Source organism: Homo sapiens, chromosome 9, assembly GCF_000001405.40.
Source record: "Homo sapiens chromosome 9, GRCh38.p14 Primary Assembly".
Lineage (NCBI taxonomy): Eukaryota > Metazoa > Chordata > Mammalia > Primates > Hominidae > Homo > Homo sapiens.
Window position 1 is genome coordinate 123,731,127 of NC_000009.12, and position 24,808 is coordinate 123,755,934.

A 24,808-nucleotide genomic window follows, 5' to 3' on the forward strand; every position below is an offset into this window, starting at 1 on the left:
GAATAGCATTAGGAGAAATACCTAATGTAGATGACGGGTTGATGGGTGCAGCAAACCACCATGGCACGTGTATACCTATGTAACAAACCTGCACGTTCTGCACATGTATCCCAGAACTTAAAGTATAATTTAAAAAAAAATTTTTAATGAAAAACACAGCTGGAAGATTAATGCTATCTGATTTCAAGACTTACTGTGAAGCCACAATCAAGACAGTATAATACTGATGGATACGCAGAACAATGGAACAGAATAGAGTCCAGAAACAGATCCACACAAACACTGCGTAGTCCATTAATTTTTGCGAAGGCACAAGGATGACTCAATCGAGAAAAGATGGTCTTTTCAACAAATGGTGCTGGAACAACTAGATGCTCATATGCAAAACAAAAACAATCTACAAAAAAATTCAACCTATACTTTATACCTTAAAAATAATTAACTCTAAATGGATCACAGACCTACAGGTAAAACATAAAACTATAAAACTTTGAGAAGAAAAGATAGGAGAAAATCTTTGTGACCTTGGGATAGGCAAAGAGTTCCTAGATATGACACCAAAAACATGATCCATAAAAGGTAAGATTGATGTGTTATGATTTTATCAAAATTAAAATCATTTGTTCTGTAGAAAATCACTGTTAAGAGAATAAAAAGAGAAATCACAGGCTGGGACAATATGTGATTTGCAAATCATATATCTGAAAAAAGATTTATGTCAAGAAACTTAAAGAACACTTGAAACTCAACAATAAGGAAACAAATCAATTTTTTTAAATGGGCAAAAGATTTGAATACTTTACCAAAGAAGATATACAAATGACAAATAAGCACGATATGCCCCAATCACTGATTATTAGGAAAACGCAAATTAAAAAATCACAATAGCTCCTACTACACACATAGAATAGCTAAAATGCTTGTGAGTACGTGGGACAACTGGAACTCTGACACCTTGCTTGTGGGAATGCAAAATGATACAACAACCACTTTGGAAAGCAGGCAGTTTCTTACAAAGTTGAACATACGCTTGGCAACATACACCCAGCAATTCCACTCTTAGGTATTCGTCCAAAAGAAACAAAAACTTGTGTTCACACCAAAATCTGTGTGCAAATGTTTGTAACAGTTTTATTCATAATCATAAAACCCCCAAACAACCTAAATGTCCTTCAATAGCGAATAAACAAACTATGAACACATTCTACAGTGGAATACCTACTCAATAATAAAAGGGAATAAATCACAGATACACACACCAACATGGATGGATCTCAAATGCATTTTACTATGTGAAAGAAGACAGTCTCCAAAAGGTAATACCATATGATTACATTTTTGTGACACTGTGGAAAAGGTAAAACTATAGAGACGGAGAAGAGGGGTTAAGAGTAGGAGAAGGGTTTGACCACACAGGGGCAACACAAGAGAACTGGAGTGGGAGAGGACAGAAGTGCTCGTATGGTGGTTATGGTGGCAGATATATGACTACATATTTGTCAAAACTCAGTAAATTATACAAAATGAGGAAATTTTACTGTACACAAATTAAAAATAAAAATAGAAAAGTCTCACCAAATCTATTAATTTTGAAAAATGAATACATTGCAACTCTTGTAATACACTTATCTGATTGAATTTAGTTAGGAATAGAGGCTCTGGAATGAGAATCCTGCCAAGGTTTTGCTGTATCACTTTTGGCAAGTTACTTAATCTGTCCAAACCTAGGTTTCTTCATCTGTATAATGGGGGCCATAGTGCTTTCTCAAAGAGTTTTTAATGAGGATTAAATGAGAGAGCGCATGGACAGCACTAAGCAAATAGTAAGCATTCAATAAATGAGTGGCTACTAAGTTTATTGTTGTTGTTTTGAGATGGGAGTTTTGCTCTTGTTGCCCAGGCTGGAGTGCAATGGCGCGATCTCGGCTCACCGCAACCTCTGCCTCCTGGGTTCAAGCAATTCTCCTGACTCAGCCTCCCAAGTAGCTGGGATTATAGGCACACGCCACCACACTCGGCTAATTTTGTATTTTTAGTAGAGACGGGGTTTCTCCATGTAGGTCAGGCGGGTCTCAAACTCCCAACCTCAGGTGACCTGCCCGCCTCAGCCTCCCAAAGTGCTGGGATTACAGGTGTGAGCCACCGCACCCGGCCAGTTTGTTTGTTTTTTAAAGACAGGATCTGACTCTGTTGCCCAGGCTGGAGTGCAGTGGTGTGATCATAGGTTTCTGTAGCCTCAAACTCCTGGGCTCAAGTGATCCTCCCATCTCAGCCTCCTAAGTAATTGGGACTACAGGTATGTGCCACCACACCCAGCTAATTTTTATATTTTTTATTTTTAGTAGAAACAGGGTCTCACTATGTTGGCCAGGCTGGTCTCAAACTCCTGGCCTCAAGCGATCCTCCCACCTTGGCCTTCCAAAGCACTGAGATTACAGGCAGGAGCCATCACATCCAGCCTTGCTTTCACTTTCTTAATTTTTAAGAACTTCCTTTTTTTATTCCTGAATGTTACTTTTTATAGAATCATATTCTTGTTGGTTATTTTTTTTTTTTTGAGACAGAGTCTTGCTCTGTTGCCCAGGCTGGAGTGCAATGGCACAGTCTTGGCTCACTGCAACCTCCATCTCCTGGTTTCAAGCAATTCTCCTGCCTCAGCCTCCCAAGCAGCTGAGACTACAGGCACATGCCACCATGACCAGCTAATTTTTTGTACTTTTTAGCAGAGACAGGGTTTCACCATGTTGGCCAGGCTGGTCTCGAAGTCCTGACCTCGTAATCCACCTGCCTCAGCTTCCCAAAGTGCTGGTATTACAGGCATGAGCCACCGTGCCAGGCCTCTTGTTTGCTTCTTTTCAAGACAGTCTCACTCTGCTGCCCAGGCTAGAGTACAGAGAGGCACATAGTTCATAGTTCACTGTAGCCTCGAACTCCTGGACTCAAGTGATCCTCCCACCTCAGTCTCCCAAGTAGCTGAGACTACAGATGTCTGCCACCAAGCCCAGGTAACATTTTTATTTTTTTATGTAGAGGCAGAGTCATTATTAAGTTTTTATTCATATTTTAGCAAGATAAGTTATGGAAATACAGGATGTTACATTCACCCCAAAAGGAGAACTACTTTAAGATTATGTGATACCCTGAAACCAACAGAAGTCACCTATTCAGAGGAAATTGCCTGTTTAAAATACACAGATGACTACTCATTTACATAATAATTTAACTTTCTTTATCAGAGTTCAATATTGCAACTAATTGTTTAATTATATGTCTGCCTTCAGATCCTGGGCCATGTGAAAGTGGGGAAAGTGCATGTCTCGGGGATCACTGCATCCTCAGTGTCTGCAGTGGAGTATAGGACACCTACAGACACCAAATAACAATACACGTTTCCTTAGCCTAAGTCAAATAAGGCACCAAGTTTGGGATGGGGGCAAGACAAAAGAATGGGAGGAACATGGACTTCAGAGTCAAACAGAGCTAGGTTCAAATACTGACAATATCAGCTAATAATGATTCTCTAAGGTTCCTTTTCCTCTTCTGTAAGACGAGGATAATTCTTCCTCTGCGGGACTGCTGTGAAGAGTGGAGGAGAGAATGCACGTGAATGTTCAGGGCACTTGGTTCTAGACATATGATGGGTGTGTATTACAGCAAGTTTCTGCCTCATCCTCTCACATGAGCACATCCCAAGAGAGGGCTTGGGAAAATAATTTTTTTTATTTTTTAAAAAAAGCCGTGTTAGCTTTCAAGTTGTCACTAGGTAAAACTTGTGTAGGAACCAGTTACTACTACCAGGCAGCATCATACGTTATGATTTGATCCTCGCTACAATCCTCCAAGGACTTATGATTGCTCTCATTACGTAGATGGAGAAGGAGAAGCCAGAAAAGTTGGAGATGCTCATGGAGATGTTGCTGGGAAAAGAGGAGATGGGATTTGAACCTTCTGAGTTTATATTCTAAGCTTTTCTCCCCCCAAGAAAATCAAGGAAGATATCAAAGGGCACATCTATCTAAAGGCTCAGTGAACTTCCCAATATTAACCAGGTGATAAAAATTAAAATACCCCTATTTCCACTATGACCATTTCTAGATGTTCTAAACCAGCTCATCCAGGAAGGAACGAGTTCATGGAGTCCCCACTATATATCAGACACTCTGCTGAATAATTTGTACACTCTCTCTCTCTCGCAACCCTTTGAGGTGAGTCCTTATCTCTGAATGTCAAAGATGACAAAAATAAGTTGCAAGATGTTAGGTAAGAAGATCATAAGTGGGCAAGAGCTGGTAAGCAAATGCAAACCCCTCTGACTCCACAGCTCACACTCTCTGCACTCACTTGCAGAGACTTCCCGATGCTCCCATGATCTCTGAAGTCCTAGTCAAAAAAGCCAGCATCATGATTTCCTCAGGTCGTCCGTGACACATACCACACTCAGTATTTGCCTGATATTCTAGAAATTGTCCTCTCATGAGTAACAAAACAGTAAGTGGTGAGATGTTTCCTTTTTTAAAAGTTTTTATTGTTAATCAAGAATTCTGAATTCCCAAAACAACAGTCACCTTTTAGAAAAAAATACTGAAGCTTGGCTGGGCGTGGTGGCTCACACCTATAATCCCAGCACTTTGGGAGGCCAAGATGGGTGGATCACTTGAAGTCAGGAGTTCAAGACCAGCCTGGCCAACATGGTGAAACCCTGTCTCTTCCAAAAATACAAAAATTAGCCGGGCATGATGGTGTACACCTGTAGTCCCAGCTACTCGGGAGGCTGTGGTGGGAGAATTGCTTGAACCTGGGAGGCAGAGGTTGCAGTGAGCCGAGATTGTGCCACTGCCACTGCACTCCATCCTGGGTGACAGAGTAAGGCCCTGTCTCCAAAAAAAGAAAAAAGAAAAATCACTGAAGCTAGCTAGTTAGACTGCACCTTCTCTACCAATGTACTCATAGCTGGATAAGTAGTTCTAATGAGAACTAAAAATCCTTATAGTAACTATACACACCAATAGCAGTTTTGTCTTTATCAAGGCTAAAGGTACAAATAAACAAAAGAAGGTCTTCAAGTCAGTGTATGAGAACACATGACCTGTAAGAGCTATGTTGTAAGCTCAGAAGGGCTAATGTTATCATTTCCATTTTCTGGAAGGAGAGAAGCCCAGAATCATACCCAAAGTCAGAGTCCAACAGGCTCCGGGCGGAGTCTAGATTGAGGGTCTCTCTGCCAACTTAGTGGTTCTTTCCTTACTACATCAGAATTCCAGGCCAGGTCATGCTATGATGTCACAAGGAAAAAGTCCCTTGCCCTGTGTCTTAGCTTCCTCAGGAGAGCTGTTAGGGAAGGTAAGAGAACAGCATAGAGTCACTGTTCCTATATTTTAAGGAATAAATGAGGCCTCATATTTAATGTCCTATCTAAAAGTGATGACAATGCTGATAATAAGATACAATTACATTTTTTTTAGAAATACTGCCATGCATTAGCAAGACTGCACTAAAACTTCTGTAATCCCTCTGATCATGCATCTCAAACACATTCATGGGAATAAGAAAACAATTGTCAAAAAAATGAATTATGGCAATAAAGCCCTAATGAGCTCATTGGAATTTAATAACATTATTTTGATTTGAATTTTTTTGAATCACAGAATATCTCAGTCTTAAGGGACACTGACAACCCTCATTTTTCAGATGAGGTAGATACAGGTCAGACGTCTTGCCCAATGTCACTGGGCCTATTGGCAGTACATACAGGACTTGAATCCAGGTCCTAAAACTACTCATCTTTCTGCTATCCTACACTGATGCCAATGAAGATTACCTTAATGGACTAACTACCAATGCTGTGAGGTTACTGATCTAGAAGTTATAAAATGTCAATATAATTTATTCGGTATTTTTTAAGACAAAAATTCCATTGAAGTCAATGAGGTGAGCTAATGGAGAATAGGAGTTAATCCTGCCTGGGTTAAAATTATTATTGTGCTAGGTTAGAATTAATATTGGCATCTCATATGGAATATATTTAAAATGTTTAATTTAACCTTTAATTCAACTCAGTTTTGGTTGTTGTTGTTGTACTTGTTTAAGAGACAGGGTCTCACTCTGTCGCCCACACTGGAGTGCAGTGGTGCAATCATAGCTCACTGCATCCTTGAACTCCTGGGGCTCAAGCAATCTTCCTTCCTCAGCCTCCCAAGTAGCTGGAACTACAGGTGTGCACTACCATGCCTGGCTAATTTTTTGTAAACATGGGGTCTCATTATGTTGCTCAGGCTGTTCTCGAACTCCTGGGTTCAGGTAATCCTCCTGCCTTGACCTCCCAAAGCACTAGGATTACAGATGTGAGCCACCACACCCAGCCTGAACTCAGTTTTTAAAGGGCAACCCACTATACAACTGAGTAGTCCAAATTAAATTTACTGAGAAAGCTTAGTTGTGTTTGGAAAAAACGTAGCAGAAGCTAAGATTTTTGTACACATTCCTCGATCTTTAAAAGAGTATTATGTGGCAAAAGTACTCCCCGCTCCTCCCATCCCCAAAATGAAATTTCAAAATCCACTCTTTCCAGGGGTCTTAGCAGCCATCAGCAGCACTTCAAAGGGGGTAGACAAGAGACAGGTATAAATCATAAGCAATGCTCATCTTTCAAAATATTTTGAAAACAATACTGTTAAAACAAAGACACCTGAATTCCAAGATAATTAATCCCCTCAAATGTGAGTAAATGGACTGCCATTTGGGAGCTGTTATTGAAGTTTTGCCACTTACATTCTAAGCCATTTTCTAACCCCAAAATACTGATATCCTTCTGGGAAATTTATATGAGAAAATTCTTTCAAACACCATTTAAAAGAGCCCACTAGTTTGACAGTCTTAGCTGAGAAAACTTCCTAGAAGAGTAAGAAATTGAAATAAGAGAAACGCTATCCTGAATGTAAAGCACTGAACATGTTAACATCTATCAAGGGACTCATAACCAGTATTTGTTAAAGAGGATTTTAAGATAATAGCTAAAATGAAATTAAATGTAAAACATATTTAAACTAATATGTTTGTTCGTTGCATACACAAAATGTCAAAAACAGTCATTAAATACAGCTTATGACTCTAAACAATTGTTTGTGGATTCTCCTTTTACAAAATAAAAACCTGAAGATAAATAATCATCACAAGGCTGCACACTGCTGACATCTGGGCCAGATTACATCAAACATTGCCTTCCTGTTCAACACAGCACAAGAGAATAAAAAAATTTTTCCCAATTTAAACTTGTCCCTAGAGCCATAAAGAATGAAAAACTGCCGTGTCAACAGCTTCTGTGTGTGTGTGTGTGTGTGTGTGTGTGTGTGTGTGTGTAGTGATGTTTTTGTTTGTTTGCTTTTCATTTTTTATTTTATGCATTTTCAATACATCTACATACTTTTCTCTTCCCTCTTTCACCATTCATTGGCTATGTAAAGCTCCAAAAGCTGGCACTCTGATGGAACAAGCCTCATATCCTAAAGTGCTGAAAGAATTGGCTACTGGTATGAAACCATTTCAAGGATACCAGCAACTTTTGTTAAGGCTATTGTTTTATAGTTAAATGCCATTCAGAGCAACTTGAACTGGACCTGTCTACTATCAAAGAGAGTAATTCACTGGGTTGCCTGGGATTTGGCTGGCAGGCCATCCTAATATTTATCTGGGGACAACTTTCACCTTTGGCTAGAAAATACTAACACAGAGCTTGAAATTGAGCAAAGTAAGAAAAGTAAATACTATGGAAAAGAATTGGGATTTGATGTGGCTATTACTCAAACGATGGAACCTGCAACATTTTGCAATAACTTGTTCACAAGCATGCATATGTACATATACACAAAAAAGGAGCTAAAAACCTTTCGTGTGGCTTTTAGATAGAATGTCACATTCCAGCCTTCATAGGGATCTAGAATTTTTTTTCAAAAATAAAATCTGAAGGACATAATCATTGTTCTCCATACTCTCAAGAAATCTGTTCAACCACTCTGATTTCAGGGTTGCTTTTCATTAGCAAAAGTTAGGAAGAGGAGGATTTGTGGAGTTTTCAGGGCTGACTTATGAGTTTCAAATAATTACCTTATAGACACTGGAGCAGGCAGTGCAGTGAGAGGGTATTAATAAGGCCTCGCACAAAAAGTGTGCAGAAAGACAGAGAGGGAAAATAACAAGCAGACCCCGGGCTTTCTTCCTAAGTTTCCAGAGTCCTGATTTTCTTATTAAAAATAAGTGTTAAAATATTTATCTTTCCTAACCTCTACAACTAACTTTGTATTCTGAATAAAGATAACTTTCAGTTATAAACAAAACTAAGAGAGAAAGTCAGATTTTAGAGCACCTGGGAGTGATGAATTGAGAAAAGAAATGCGGTAACCAACAGAAAAATCTCAGTCCAGCTTAGATATGACTTGCAGCTGAAAGTTATCTCAGGTTTTCAGGTCCTACTCTTCTAAGATGATGAACTCATACTATCTTTTAATGAGAGGCTCATATCTGCCTTTGATGTGTGAAAGACACTCCCAGCTGGAGGAGAGTACAAGAAAGATCTAAAATATTTGCTTCAGCTGCAAAGAACTATTAATGAAAGTTTAGAAAATGAGGTAGCATTAGGGGGAAAATCTTTAGAAAAAAAGATGACATACTCTCATCTTATGAAATCTTAAGGGAATATATTCCAGTAAAATAAAATCTGACAAAAAAGTTCTTCCCTCTTCTACACACCAGAGTTCTTCATCCTTTTCCAGAGTGTGTTCTTAATTCCCTGGTACATAGGAGAAAAAAAAAAAAAAAGGCTTCATATAATTTGCTATTCACACAAAACACCAAGGGTTAGAGTCACATAATGTACACAGAGGTTATAAGACCACATGGATGTATCAGCTTACATTGGGGAGAGTTTTAGAATTAATTCTTACAAAACCACCTTTAAGTGTGTTTAAGAAGGGGAGCACTTACAGTGCAATCTTGCGCAACATGTTTACCTATGTAACAACCCTGCATGTCCTGTGCATATGCCCCTCTACGTAAAAGTTGGAAATAAAAAAAAAATCCTGTGCAAAACAGAACTTAAGTTCAGATAATTCTCCACAATTCTCTATGCTGCTTAATGTTCTGAGATTATCTTTTTGTCAAAAAAGCAGCAAAAATAGAAATCTGGTTTTCTTAATAACCTGTCTAAATATATTTTCTAACTATCTAATCTACTCTCAGTATAGAGCACAGGTACAGAAGATAAGCATTAAACAACTCCCATAGGCTATTATAAATCTCCCATTTAGAGTCTGGGACACTTTCAATTACTCTTAGCTGGTCTACCCAGTAACTACTTTCCCTGAATGAGCAAGGAGATCTGTAGAGGTAGCAAAGTCTTTGAGACCTTTTCTTATTATTCCCTTTGATAGAGAGCAGGAGAAAAAGCATATGTGGAAAAACATATGAAATTCCTTCTTAGAAAAAAAAAATTCTCTGTTGCTAACTCCTAAATTAGGTATCTTATATAACATATTTACACATATGTTAACAACTTTACAAAGTAGGCCTCATTATCTTTCTTTTACAGATGTGGGAAACAAGGATCAGATGAGACAGGTTATATGATTTGTCACATGGCTCGTAAGTCAGAATTTGAATCTAGGTCTCAATCTACAAGCTGTGCTTTAGAATGTTAGGTAATTAAACATGATGGCATCACCTACTTTCTGCGGAAGAAATAAATGTTCTAAGGTAAAGAAAGATGCTGAGGAAGGGAAAGTGAGAGAGAGAGAGAGAGAGAGAGAGAGAGAGAGAGAGAGAGAGTATGGACAGGCAAGTACCAGGACTAGGAAATAGTTATTTCAGCAACTTTTATTCATTCAATAAGTACTTATGTAGAATCTACTAGGGGTCAGCTACTCTCAAGGGTTCTCTCAATGGCATCTAAATTCTTGTACCCTCTCAAGGAAATTATATAATTTCTTCTTTCAAAGTTTCCATATTCCTAGGCCAATGTGACATTCCTTTTTTCTCCTCACACATGCCTGGCTGAAATCATGCCAAACCTCAGCAACTTTTAAAAGTGATAAGTCTGCTAGAGTATTTATGTTAAAAACAATTTCAACGGCATACCTGGAAATAAATATTCTACTCCAACAACCAAAATTTTACAAGTGATTAAAGTGGAAAGAGATATGAACGGATATGATCGGATATCTCAGAATGACAATCCATAACTAAGCTAGCTTCCCTACCCACCATCAATGTCAACAATGTCAAAGGAAACTCTGTAAGCAGAATAACTACTTCCTCTTTTTAGCCTGATCCATTTATCCATTTTTCAAAATTTCAGGTATTTCAGACAATGTAGTCTTTTGGATTAAAGACAAGAACTAAGGAAAATATTAATTTCTAACTCAGTTACTATGCTGGTTTACAGAGGCAGCATCATAATTGTTTAAGGCCCTTCCTTAGGGTTCTTTTGATAGGAAAGGAGAAGAAATTGCTTAACTTCCTCATTGCTCAGTCTCCTCAATGAGTAAAATAGACAGATATCCTGGTTATCCCTTCACCTTGATATGAAACTAAACTTTGTTAAATAAAGCTCCAGAGTGAGTGGGTGCTGAGTGTCATTCAACAAATGATAATTCCCCAATCCGAGTTTCAAGTTCTCATTTTATATTTGAGCAACATAGCACAACGCTGACAAAAAGAGGATTAAATCAAGGATTCTGAGCAGAGAGGGGAAAGGCCATGATCATTCCTATCAAAAAAGAAAGGGCAGTTATTTTCTCTTTTCTTTCCTTTAAAAAGAAAGTACTGAGGGATAATTCTGATGTGTCTATTCCAGCAGAACATTTGAAAGACGTGTCCAATTCAGGCCAGAGCGTTGCTCTCAGAGCGAAGGGTATCACCATGCTCTAGAGTTCAGTCTCCTCTGCACATACATAAACACAAGTGCATAGCGCCCCAACGCTGTTTGTCCCCTCGGCCTCACAGCTCTGCCAGTTGGCAAACCCAAGCCAGGAAGTTGTCAATTCCAATTGCGTTTAGGCCATGTAGTCCTATTAAAGAAGGCCTGCTGGTTAAGGGGCGTCCTCTGTTTCCAAAGCATGGGAAAAAAAAAAAAAAGGCTATGCTTAGATTGGAGCTGGCAACTTTCACTGACTAGAGTTTTCAAGGAGCTATGAATGAGTTTAACAAAGGAGGTCTGTGGCTAGTTTCTGGCTGAAGTCCATGTCAACAGTTTTTAAGGTCACAGGCCACACTAACTAACATTTATTCCCAGCAGACCCTGTTCTAAACACAAGCTGTAAGTAGTACAAATTTGGAATTTTTCTGTAATCCCTTGAGATATTCCTGATCCTTCCACATGTTTCTGCTCAATTAAAAACAATTCTCACTTTGCACCACAAGAGAGGCCATGCTCAGCAATCTCAGTTCATCCTTAGGGTAGACGAACAAAAACCTGGCAAATCAAAGGGCTTGAGTGGGGAAGGGAAGGAATTCAGCTGGATCACACTGAAAAGTGCAGACAGCTCCCCAGGGGCTCAGTTTGTGAAAGCATAAAACAGGTTATGACAGAGATCCTGAGGCCATAAAAAGCAGGTTTGAGACACACATTGGGAATAGGTTCCTAGTCATTTTACAGAAATAAGATAAAAATTTCTGAGAAAATTAACAGGTCAACTAGGTGAGTAGAGAATGGTGATAATGCATAGGACAGATGCTAAATATCCCACTTGGAAATTAATACTAACATTTCTCAATTAAGAGGAACTCCTTTAACATCTCTGAAATCAAAATGCATTTTGGGAACAAACTAAAAATTTAACACAGTCATTTCTCCCCCTGAAAAAATATTTTTACATCAATGGTGCAGTGTATAACTAATGGTATTTTTAAGTCTTGGCAGACAACATGGGAATAACTGCCTTGGACTGAGTACCAAAGATGTGCTATGCACTGTGCGTGGTATGTCCATTAAAAAAAAATCTCTCCTGAGCGAGGCATGGTGGCTCACACCTGTAATCCCAGCACTTTGGGAGGTTGAGACAGGCAGATCACTTGAGGTCAGGAGTTCAAGGTCAGCCTGGCCAACATGACAAAACCCTGTCTCTACTAAAAATAAATTAGCTGGATATGGTGTCGTGCACCTGTAATCCCAGCTACTTGGGAGGCTGAGGTGGGAGAATCACTTGAACTCAGGAGGCAGAGGCTGCAGTGAGCCGAGATCGTGCCACTGCACTCCAGCCTGAGCGATGGAGTAAGACTCAGTCCCAAAAGATAAATAAATAAATAAATAAATAAATAATAAAAATAAAAACATAGGCCGGGCGCGGTGGCTCACTCCTGTAATCCCAGCACTTTGGGAGGCTGGGGTGGGTGCATCACCTGAGGTCAGGGGTTTGAGACCAGCCTGACCAATATGGTGAAACCCTGTCTCTACTAAAACTACAAAACTTAGCTGAGCATGGTCGTGGGTGCCTGTAAGCTCAGCTACTTGGGAGGCTGAGGCAGGAGAATCACTTGAACCTGGAAGGCAGAGGTTGCAGTGAGCTGAGACCACGCAATTGCACTTCAACCTGGGCAACAAAAGTGAAACTGCATCTCAAAAAAAAAATAAAAAATAAAAAAATTTAAATTTAAATTAAAAATATATATACCTCGTAATCTTTAAGGCTACCATGAGATGTACTTTCTGTTTTACAGTTAAGGAAACAGGCTCAGAAAGGTGACATGACATGTTTTGGCCTTAGATCTAGTAAGGGGTAGAATCAAAATTTGAACACAGTTCTGATTTCAGAGCGTAAGTCCGTTTCACAAACTTAGTGGGGAAACACACATTAGAGTATCAGTTACTATTTTGGTAGCTAAAGTACTGCCGTTTGTGGCATTCTATATTTGAAATCATGAGATAGATATATGAAGGTGGTTATAATTTTTCCAAACTAAAAAATATGTAAATTATTGTGCAGTGAATATTTGGATTGGGCTTGATAGAACAGCCAGGATAACTACTTCATTAAAGAGAATTAAAAACACCCATGATAACATTACTTAACTATTCTCATTAATACTTTGGGATCCGATCCCCCACGTCATTTTTTTCTACATACTTTTTACAAAATGGAGATCACATCACATATAAAAATTTGTCTCTTGCTTTTCTTCTATAAGTACTGGATATTTTCCATGTCATCAAATAATCACCAAAACCAATTTTAATGGCTACATGGTATCTAATTAAATTTAACTATCCTCTATTTCTAGGCCTTAAAATTGTTTCTAACTTTTCACTCTATATGCTAAATGTCCTTGTCCATATATCCGTACTTATATTTCTGAGTTTTTCATAAAACAGATTCCCCAAAGTGGAAAAAATGTTAAAGGTTTTGAATATATATTGCCAATTGTTTTCCAAGAATGTTGGACCATTTTACAACCTGATCAACAGTGTGTAAGTGCCTACCTCATTACCAAGTGTCATCTGCAAGCTAGCATAACCTAGGCTCATGTACACTTTGTCACATGTATGCCCACATACATCTCACCTATGACAATTGGTCTACCTTTCAATATCTACTATACTATGTGATGTGGTGAGATGTCCACGACCACCTTACCAATATTCTTTACTTATATTAGCTCTTTTTTTTTTTTTTTTTTTTTTGACACAGAGTCTTGCTCCTATTGCCCAGGCTGGAGTGCAATGGTGCAATCTCAGCTCACTGCAACCTCCGCCTCCCAGGTTCAAGCAATTCTTCTGCCTCAGTCTCCCGAGTAGCTGGGATTACAGGCGCACACCACCATGCCCAGCTAATTTTTGTATTTTTAGGAGAGACAGGGTTTCACCATGTTGGCCAGGCTGGTCTCGAATTCCCGACCTCAGGTGATCGACCCGCCTCGGCCTCCCAAAGTGCAGGGATTACAGGCGTGAGCCACCGTGCCTGGCCTACTTATATTATCTCTAATCCTCACCAAAAAAATAGATATGAGGAAATTAAGGCTCAGACAGAGTAAATGGAGTAATCAGAAGCTCATTTCCAAATCAGGAGGACTGGAATGCAGGCCCTACTCTGACACTAGACCACACTCTTATGCCATGCCACCGTGTAACTCATTTTACCTTTCAGATAATGATCAACTTTCTCTCACAACTCCAGGGACTGCCTCTTTCTCTAGCAACACCTCTGCAAACGATGAGACCAGATTAATGTTTGGAGAAGTAAATAAGGGCAATAATACCTAGATCTCATGGGCTTTGAGAAAAGTGAAGTGTATGCTGGCGAGTCTTCTTTAAAAAGCAAGGAGCTAGTGGCAGCAGTGTGGTGCATGGAATGCTCATGCACAGCTTGCAGAAGCAGAAAATGGTGAAACCACTGAAGGAAACAATTTGGCATTATCTCAATAAAGTTGATTGAGCTTAATAGAATAAAATTGCCCAATTTGGCATTTATCCCAATGAAGTCAACGATATACATGTCCTATGACACAACTATTCAACTCCTTAGGTACATACAGTACACAGAAGTTAAGTCTATGTGCACCAGTATAGCTCTTCAAGAATGTTCATAAAAGTCACACGCTAGAAACAGTCCAAATGGCCACCTACAGTTACATGCATAAACAACTCAACCCCTTTATCTCTACAATGGAGATAATTTCATAAGATTGCTATAAAAATAAATGAAAATTACATAAACCAGCTGTGGTATATCATCATACAACACAGAACACTAGATAGCAAAGAAGACAGACTATAACCATAAGCAACAGCATGGGTGAATCTCAAGGTTAAGCAAAAGAAGTAAGACTGAAAATAACAATTCTAAATTGCATAATGCAACTCACAGAGTTCAAAACCAAACAAAGCTATACTATACTATTTAGGGATGTATACATAGGTGAAAAAATTAATATCAGGGTGCTAGTAATTTCTGAACTTCAATGGTGATTACATGGGTATTTGCTGTATATTTATGTTTACTTATGTGTGTATAATGTGTATATGTACATTTGACGCCCTTTTCTGTTTGCAGGTTATATTTCACAATTTACAAAAGGGAAAAACACAGGGTTGTGATCAAACATTTACACAATAGATATAGCATACAGGGACTTTATCAAGTATTTACTGTTTTATTTAATCTTTAGAACAATATTCTGCATTAGTATTGTCCACAATTTGCCACTGAAATAACTGAGACAAAAACCAAATGACAGCCAAGTAAAAATATTTTTATTATAAATCCATGTTTTAAAAAGATTGAAAAAAAATCAAAGTATAGCACCAATGTTTGTTTCATTACAACACAAAAACAGTTTGAATATCCCTTATCCAAAACATATGGGACCAGAAATGTTTCAGATTTTAGATTTGTTTGGATTTTGGAATATTTGCAGAATATATACCAGTTGAGCACCGCTAATTTGGAAATCCAAAATGCTCCGATGGACATTTCATTTGAGCATCATGTTGGTGCTCAAAAAGCTTTTAGAGCATTTTGAATTTTGGATGTTCAGATTAGGGATACTTGAGTACACTAAATCTGAGGAACGCACAAGTTCATGGGAGTCCTTGAAAGTTAAACTGTCCCTTCAAACAAAAAGACCTAGAATTGCAATCTCTGGAGAATGTTAACAAAGAGTACAATGAAAAGATATTTATAAAAGTTTTGTTTTCAGTGGTCACGGGACAACAGTTATCTTTACTCAATAAGGATAATCAATATTGGCTATATTTTTCATATACTAATAAAAAAGAAAAAGCACAAATTAAATTTTCTCCAAAGTTGGTATCCAAAATTACAAAATTTACAAAAGTGACAGTAAAAATCCTAGCTCAGCAGAAAACAGTATACTAGCAAACATACATTCTTTAGAGTCTGTTTTGGCTTGGGGTTGTTTTTGTTTGCAGTGTTTTTTTGTTTTTTAACCACTTAAAAACTTGTTTTCTGATGGGACCAGAATTTTAAAATTAAAAACTTAAAATAAAAAAAAAATCAGTCAGTCATCCCAAGGAGCTTAGACAACAAACTGCAGGACACTGAATTTCACCCAACTTCTTCTCCCACCACACTCTTAAATCGGTTTTTAAAAAATGTAAAATTTTTCAAGTCAAGCATTTTTGCTGTATTTTGGGTCCATTAATTCACATAAAGAGGTAGTTAAAATACCAGACTGCATAAATGAACAATAGGACAATTAACCTCACATGCAAAACTCCACCACTTTACTTCAAAGGCATCTGAAATAGAATGGATTAGAAACCATAAATGATGCCTCTCAGAATTAATTCTGTAATAAATATTGCTTTGTATTATAGATAAGGGATTTAAAATCTCTATGTGGTAGTTTAAGACTTGTGGATTGAGCTAAAGCACAACAATTGCCCTTGGTTTTGCATAAGATCACTGGTAGATTCAAGTCCATGAGTAGAAAATAAAAACCTACTTAATTTCCACTGCATACTACAATATATAGAATTTAATTTTCTCCACAATGTTTAAAAATTCCATAAGTTTACGTAAAGTTTTAAGATACATGTAATTTGCTTTCACTTAGAATGCAATATATTCTAATTTCAAAATTATACTGCTATCTAACTTCAAAAGAGTTCCCTTAATGTTACAATTTGCATTTTACAACTCATGCTAATAAAATTACTTACTCTGAAGATGTAAATATACAAAATAAAATACGGAAACGTAAACTCAACACATTATTTGCCACTTGATTTTAACCAAGACTTTTGATACTATTTCCATACTCTTCTGTTCATTGTTTCAGAAGCTAGTAACTATTCTTCATTGTCAAGAATCAGGTAATAGCTCACATGTTAAGATAAAAAAAAAAGTTGAGTGTTTCTTTTAAAAAAATACCAAGTAGTTAGCTGAATGACAACATTATAGCAAATGCATTTTTAAAAAGAAGATAAGCCTTAGCAAGAAATATTCTTTCACATTACTAAGAGCTTCTTTCCTTGTATTATAAATCAATCTCACACAAATAAATTATGTAGTTAAAAACACTCTCAGGAAAGAATATTTAATGACATGTAAAGATGGTTACAATTTAATAAGTGAAAAAGCTAGATACAAAGTTATACCTACAGCACCATCCCAATTCAGGGAAGGAAACACCCTTAGTCATTATCAGCATGGTGGGATGAGAGATTTCTTTTCTTTTCTGCAGTTTTCTAAATTTCTCTAATGAGAAAGTGTATCTTTATAATCTTAAAAAATAACATCCTAAAAATAAGTGGCTCATAATTGATTGCTAGAATTGTAGAGTCTTCAAACTTCTTCAAACTTCAATCATGGTACTACGATTTTTCTGTAAAGAAGTACCTATTATTGCAGTCTTATGGGGCCTCTCCATGATGGAGAGAATGTTAGGCTTCCTACTGCTTCTAAAACTGATCCCTGAAAGGGCCAGACAACTTAAATTCAGACTCCTGTATTCACAAATCCATCTTGCTCTTAAGAGTGTAGCTTAGAAGCAAAGGGCAATTTTAGGAGTGAGGTGTATTTTGAGCCATTTTCTTTTCTACCTCCCACCCAGTGAAAAGCAAAGATCAGGCTCAGATAAATGCCTTCTGCTTATTGCTGTTGAAGGAAAGTGGCTGGCTTGCAGGGAGGTCCAAGAAAAATTGTTGACACTCAAACTCAATCAAAAAGCACCGAGGAGCCTCTCCTGTAGAATGCTTTTTCATCTCCCAAAAAGGGTCCCTCATGTCGAATTCTGAGATCCTTTCAAAAGACAGGCTCTATTTCACTGGTTTTCCATTCAAACATACCTTGCATCGGATTTAAACAGAACTGATCATCTTGTTCACTCTATAATCACATAGTTGGATTATTCACATTGCTCATAATGATGCTAACCAAAAGGGAATGTGACTCCTTGACACTAACCAGGGGCTACTGAGTCTTGAAAAAACATTAGTTCCAGCTGGCCTTGGGCTCATTCTCCTGAGTTGGAAGAATCATTGCCATATCACGGGCAAAACCCTGGGTTGGAGGTCAGAAGACTGTCATTCACCAGCCAAAGAGCTTGGAACAAAAATCTTCCTGTCTCATTCATGTTTCATTTTCATCATTTATAAGATGAGGGTGAGCTGTAGAACATTATTTCTGAAAGCTCTTTAAGCTCACCTCTGAGTTCATTCTGCAAGGGCAAACTACCCATTATGTCTTTTTAAACTAAGTATATACATATAGAAAGAGAGGACAAATAACCTTTTGAAAGCAGTAAAAGTTGCTTTGGTGGCAGGAAGACAGAATTTGCAGTTGAGAGTATAAATTTTGGGTTGGATTTTAGCTTCCAAACCAGATTCCTTAACTTTCTCCTTGAGATCTTGGGCAAGTCACTGTATCTCTCTCAGTCTCAATCCCTTTATCTCTACAATGGAGATAATTTCATAAGATTGCTATAAAAATAAATGAAAATTACATAAACCAGCTGGCATATTAAATAAATGCTGATAAATGTTAATTCCTGCCTTCCACTCCAAATCCTCTGTAGTGAGTTATCCAGAGTTAGTCTATCCATGTTCAAAATGATGAAGTAACATGAGCCATCAGCAGCAGTCACTAGAGGTAGCAAGATGATTGAAGAATGCGGGGGTGGGTAGAGAGCAAAAAACAAGGCAGAACTACACTCCTGGAGTTCTTGAGGTGGTTTCACTTCCTGCCCTGTACTAAGCTTCATGAGGATTAATGACAAGGAAGTGTTCTGTTTCCAAAACAGAGAAAGTATCACATCTCTTGTAAGGTTTAGAATTCACTCCGTCTCAAAAATAAAAAATCCCTTTTAGCCAAAGTCTTAGAGTTACAAATACCCTACAACCCTAGGGTCAGGTTGCTTGAGGGAAGGCTGTGCCAGGCTGGTGTCCTCTGAAAAGAATCAGGAGGAGAAAGGGAGCTTCCTCCTGCAGTGGACAGCCTGAGGCTGGCTGCTTGTTCCAGCCCCCATGGCCACTGCAGAAGACACACCTGTCCTTCCAACTGCGCAGCTTCCCAGCCCTCAAATCAACCTCCAACAGCAGGCCACTGGGAGTGCAAGGGCAGTTTCGGCTATTTCTCTTTCTTCTCTTCAAAGGTGATTTTCTTTAAACTGTACAGCTTGTTACTATTGTTGAGTTGTGGCTCCCCAGAGGATTATATATGTTTCTAAGTATGAAGGCATCTGTATGGCAATAAAACATGCAACATTCCCCAACCACTTCATTTTTTAATTCAGAAAAACTAGTTATAAACTCCCACAAACTGATGTTCTGAAGAGCACCCCATGCCCTGCACCCACACAAGCCTTTCAAAATACTGAGGAACTCAGAAGGGCCCTGGGCCTAGGAAAGAGCAGACTCCCTGGCCCATCCTCTATGTTCAGCTTCTGACAGATGCCATGTTCTGAGACCCACAGTCGGTGAAATTATCAATCTGCCTTAGCAGTGGGGCCTTCTGCCAACTGACCATCCAGAGAATAACAAGAACAACACAGTATCCAGCTTACTTTTAAGGAGAAGAATTAAAAAGAAATCAAACAGTTCCAGAGAGACAGAAACACTCAAAAGGCAAAGGAAAGTCCTCTGTTAAACGGTATGAAAGACCCAGGTTTCCAGAATGGCATTTAAGGCACTGGGAAGAAAGGCTGATTTCTCCCAGAGGGGCCCCGGCTTTGATGCCCAACTGCCCTCAAACATCAGGCTGTGCATTTTTGTATAGCAGGGTACCCTCGGGCGAGACAACCATAAACAGCTTAAAACAAGAATAGGAGATTCCATCTGTTTCTGGAATATTTCAGCAGCACCTGCTTTCAAGGTAAAAATCTGGGAGCTGTCCCCACAGCCTTCCTCCCCGACTCCCTCCCCCACCTCCCAAACACTTATTTTAAACTAAAGCAGCTAACACACAACCCAAAAGGGCTTCTGCCACCGCACCTGCCTGAGGAAACAGAGTCCTTTGATTTTATTCCTGAACTGTATGTGTTGTTTAAAAACACTGGAACAGTCAGCAAGGAAAGCCAAAGTTCTTAAAGCCAGACTCCTTTATTACTTCTAGCTTCTTTTTTGCTCCGTGGAAATGGAGCTTTTCTGTGTTTCGAGTGAAAATGAATGTAACACAGCTGAGAATGGATGCAATGGTCATTCCAGTCTTGAGATCAGAAAGTGCTCCAGAAGGAAGAAGGTTGTCACTGAACACCACTCAGGTTTAGAATCAAGTCCATATGCCAACTAGCATGGAAGAAGGGATAATCACTATCCTTGTTTTTAAAAGAAAACAAAAAAACCCCCTGCAGTTGAGGTTTGAAAAATCCAGTCTAAATCTGGGTGCTACCTCCAAAGTGACACGCAACATCCCTTCAAACAATAACCAGAAAAACCCAAGCACATTTCACATTCAAAAAATCACTTTTGCCTTGGTCTAAAAACATCATCATCTCTAATGTCTACCCGAAACCAGCTGACAGTATTCCATTTGCTACCGGATAAATCTAAAATCTTGAGCACGCCCCAGAAGCACTCACAATTGGACCCCAGACTTCGATGGTATCATCTCTTGCTATTGCTCCCTCACTGCATTCTCAGCATCCTTTCATCTTGCTATACCTTTCATTTCTTGGGGACTTTGTGTATCAGTTCTCACTGCCTAGAGAGCTGTTCTCCCATTTTCCTCCAGCCAAGCCCCCACTCATTCTGCAAGACTCAGTTTAACTGGAACTCATCAGCAACACTTTCCCTTATTCTCAAGTTAGAGATGGGCACTGTCTAATCTGTGACTTTGAAGAACCTTACACATAAATATGTTTTCTTAAAACAACACTGATCGCATTATGTTTTCATTACTTGTTTACATTTTCCCACCCCAAAGATTGAGCAGTTCCTAAAAGAGTGAGGGTAGCAGAAGTGCAGTGGGAGATGGATATCAAAATCAGAGGTGGTCCATGAACAGTGCACCTAGAAGCACATTAGATTTTATATTTGGTAAATGACAAGAAATACTTTTTTTTTTCATTTTGTACTACCAAGTTCAGAAAGTTCAGCTCATCAAAATCTTGGATGAGTGTGATATCTGAAGAGTTTTCAAATGGAGATCTGGGGCTAGATCTCTGTGTTCATGTTAAGGGACCTTGAAACAAGTGAAGGCCAGAGACCAAGTGTTATGTATTGCCCATTCTGGGTATATACTAGGTACTCAGATACTTTTTAATTGAATAAAAATTTAAAAAGTTAAACTAAAAAAATTTAGACAGCATCTTGAGGAAAAAAGTTTTTTCTTTCCAAAATGTATAATAAAATTAGTTTTATTTGGGTGTAAGGACAGTTACTCAATCTTTCTTAAGAGCTTCAATAAGATCCCAATGGAAGCAGGAGAAAACTGTAGGGCAAATATTTGTGTAGTTCCTTTATAAAAGACAAAAGGTATTTAATTATTGTATGACATATCTCCCCATAACCCTCAAACACAAATTTAAACCTTTGAACTCCTGTGTTCCTTCTGTTGATCCAGAACTAGAAGTTGGCTAGAAATCGCATCTTTCATTACAGTTTTGGCCTTGATGGAGTATGTGCCATTGGGGCAAATCAAATATCAAGTGCCATAACAAATTTCAATTCTAGGTCACTTTGTTTTATAATATTTAAAGATTTCAGAGGTAAATGCATATATTGCATCAGACTCAGATGGTACAATATGAAAATGCTAAAATGCTCTCACATCCCTGTGTTTATGATGGAGACTAACTAATCCGTAACTACTGTTCTCCTAGCTGGTGTTTTTAATTTAGTATCAACTCCCATCCAGGAACTCATTAAATAATGTGGCAAATCTCAAGGAGGAGTAAAATTCTTCAGTGGCAGGAACTAGTCAACCATGGGAGGAAATAATGCATTTGATTTATAGTGGCATTTGTGTTAATAGGACTTGTTTGGTACGACTAGGTTTCTGCCAAGGTTAGCTGGTAATAAGAGTTCATACCAAAGTTTCTAATGTTTTTTAATAAACATGGGCTTATTTCCCCATTCATTCCTTCATAAAACAAGTACTAGCTAAGTCCTTGTCCTTGAAGAGTTCCCAGACTAGCTGGGAATGTCAGCTATGTGCCAGAATATTCTTCAATAAACTTTGGATGTATTTGTGGGAGGAGAAAAAAACATAAAAATTCCCAGCCTTCATGGAGCTCATGCCCTAGTGGGGAGGAACAGAAAATAAAAAGGAACCTAATAAGTAGGTTATGTTGCACAAAGGGTGTCTAAAAACCTTTCATTGTGAAATTAAGTTTAAATTTTAAAATACAGATGGCTTAACCCTTCATGGACAAAATGTCTATCACTCAATATTGAACCTCCATTGTGAGATTAAAAGGTGCATCTCTTACAACTAGCATGAAATGAGTTTGGTAATGTGAACTACACTTCTTCCAACAACTATTTCTTATTTCCTCTCTGAATTTACGTCCCATGACACCTGTCCTCTCATTCAAAGTCTTTGGTGCCCTGCCCTCCCATTCTTGATGCATTTCCCTGTCTCTGATCCCAATGCACACAATATCTTGGATAAGCACTACACTAACTGCTGGAGATGCATGCATAGTTAATTAAGATCCAGCCTTTACCCCTGAAGAGTTGACCTTCCAATAGGAGGAAAACAAAGGAGGACCAAGGTTATGAGTGTGTAACTAAAGAATGCAAAGCACGCTGGGTGTGCCAGAGAGGGAATGATTACCTCTACATGGGGAAGGCTACTCTGCAGAGGTGCCTAGGCTGAGTCTGGGAGGATGGGTAAACATGTGAAAGCAGAGACTGTTGAGTGGTTCACATGGACCAGAAAGCATAGAAGTTTGGAATGTCAGACAAGGAGGAAGTGAAGCTAAATCCTGGAACCACAGGGGCTACGTCTGCACAGATGCCATAACTGAGAGCTACATCCCTTGAGAAGAAATGGAAAGCAAAAGTAGAGGTAGTTTATGAGCAGACTTGAGCCACAGCCCTGGGCACACTGTGAAGGGTGATTGGACCTCAAGGCACAGGTTAACTAAAGAGAAAGTATCTAAAGGAAGCAAGGAGACTGAGCAGCAGAAGAGGACAATACAACAATGTAACCTAGACCCAAACTGAGCTCTCATTCTCTTGGCAGACCTCTCCACTCCCCAGTGGATACACCGTCAACCAGTCATCCAGCTTTAACAGTAAACCCTTCCATTTACATGCTAGTCTCAGCCTAGCAATGTTCCCAAACCCAACAGAGGGAAAGTGTCAGTGGGTGTGCCCTTTATTTCCACACAAGCTGGAAAAGATAGCTTCTCTACCCTCATATTAAATACTCATAAAATTCATGTTCCACAATTCATCTAGGACTCTTTTATTTTTAGCCACAGTCACTATCCTCTGGCACTAGAAAAGCAACAGCAAGACGACACTATGCCTTGGGATCATTCTGTGTATTAGATACAGCATACTGTATTGTGATCATCCATCTCCCCAGCTAGTCTGGGAACTACTCAAGGACAGTGACTAGCTAATAGTAGGAATTCAATTAAGAACTGACACACAAATGAATGAATTAACCCACCGAATTTTTCTCCATAGTTCTAACCTACTATAACAGATTTAAAAAACACATCAATTGCTGCCATTTTTCATTCTAAAGGATGAAAGCACGAAGACTATTCAACTGGCTTCTCACAAATATGAAATCCAGGACCCTACTTGTATAGGCACACAAAGTCACACATCAGAATCAGAGACAAGCAAATTCAAATGTAAATTTTTAAATGAATACTTTTATCAAAATTTGCTGAGTGATAGTGCCAGTTTAGAATATACATATACATACACACACACAGCTTAGAAAGAAACACTGTAACCCAAACATATTATAGAGAAAAACCTTTTTGCAAAACTCTAAGAACTCAGTTTAAGCCTCACCACCTCCAAATGAATACATAGTTCACCTTGGACAACACAGGCTTGAGCTGCTGAGGTCCAGTTATACACAGATTTTTTTTTTTTTTTTTTTGAGACAGAGTCTTGCTCTGTCGCCCAGACTGGAGTGAAGTGGCATGATCTCAGCTCACTGCAACCTCCACCTCCTGGGTTCAAGCGATTCTCATGCCTCAGCCACCCAAGTAGTTGGGATTACAGGCACCTGCCACCACTCCGGCTAATTTTTGTATTTTCTTTCTTTCTTTTTTTTTTTTTCAGTAGAGATGGGGTTTTGCCATGTGGGCCAGGCTGTTCTTGAACTCCTGACCTCAGGTGATCTGCCCACCTCAGCCTCCCAAACTGCTAGGATTACAGGAGTGAGCCCACATGCCTGGCCAATATGTGGATTTTTTTAAAGTAAAAGTTATACCTTCCTCTCCTGCCTCCCTTCCTCCTCTTCCACCTCAGCCTCCCAAACTGCTAGGATTACAGGAGTGAGCCCACGTGCCTGGCCAATATGTGGATTTTTTAAAGTAAAAGTTATACCTTCCTCTCCTGCCTCCCTTCCACCTCTTCCACCTCTGCTATCCCTGAGACAGCAAGACCAACCCCTCCTCTTCTTCCTCGGTGTGAAGATGCTGAGGATGAAGGCCTTTATGATGATCCACTTCCACTTAATGAACAGTACATATATTTTCTCTTCCTTATGATTTTCTTAATAACTTTTCCCTTCCTTAATTATTGTAAGAATACAGTATATAAGACATGCAACATACAAATATGTGTTAGTCAACTGTTTATGTTACAGGTAAGGCTACCAGTAAACAGTAGGCTATGGAATAGTAGTTAAGTTTTTGTGGGTTTTGTGTTGTTTTGTTTTTGAGATGG

The 24,808-nt window shown here is 38.7% G+C and overlaps 1 protein-coding gene across 41 annotated transcripts in view, besides 3 other annotated features; it reads right to left on the reverse strand.

The window, feature by feature from the left end:
- Positions 1-24,808, reverse strand: part of DENND1A (DENN domain containing 1A) — a 550,469-nt gene that overhangs the window by 351,469 nt on the left and 174,192 nt on the right. The window lies entirely within an intron of this gene.
- Positions 8,495-8,544: an enhancer, noted in NCBI's record as "active region_28948". NCBI's record gives its function as "activates an Ori minimal core promoter by ATAC-STARR-seq in GM12878 lymphoblastoid cells {active_cell/tissue: GM12878}" and the evidence as "EXISTENCE:reporter gene assay evidence [ECO:0000049][PMID:35858748]".
- Positions 18,810-18,939: an enhancer, noted in NCBI's record as "active region_28949". NCBI's record gives its function as "activates an Ori minimal core promoter by ATAC-STARR-seq in GM12878 lymphoblastoid cells {active_cell/tissue: GM12878}" and the evidence as "EXISTENCE:reporter gene assay evidence [ECO:0000049][PMID:35858748]".
- Positions 22,924-22,973: an enhancer, noted in NCBI's record as "active region_28950". NCBI's record gives its function as "activates an Ori minimal core promoter by ATAC-STARR-seq in GM12878 lymphoblastoid cells {active_cell/tissue: GM12878}" and the evidence as "EXISTENCE:reporter gene assay evidence [ECO:0000049][PMID:35858748]".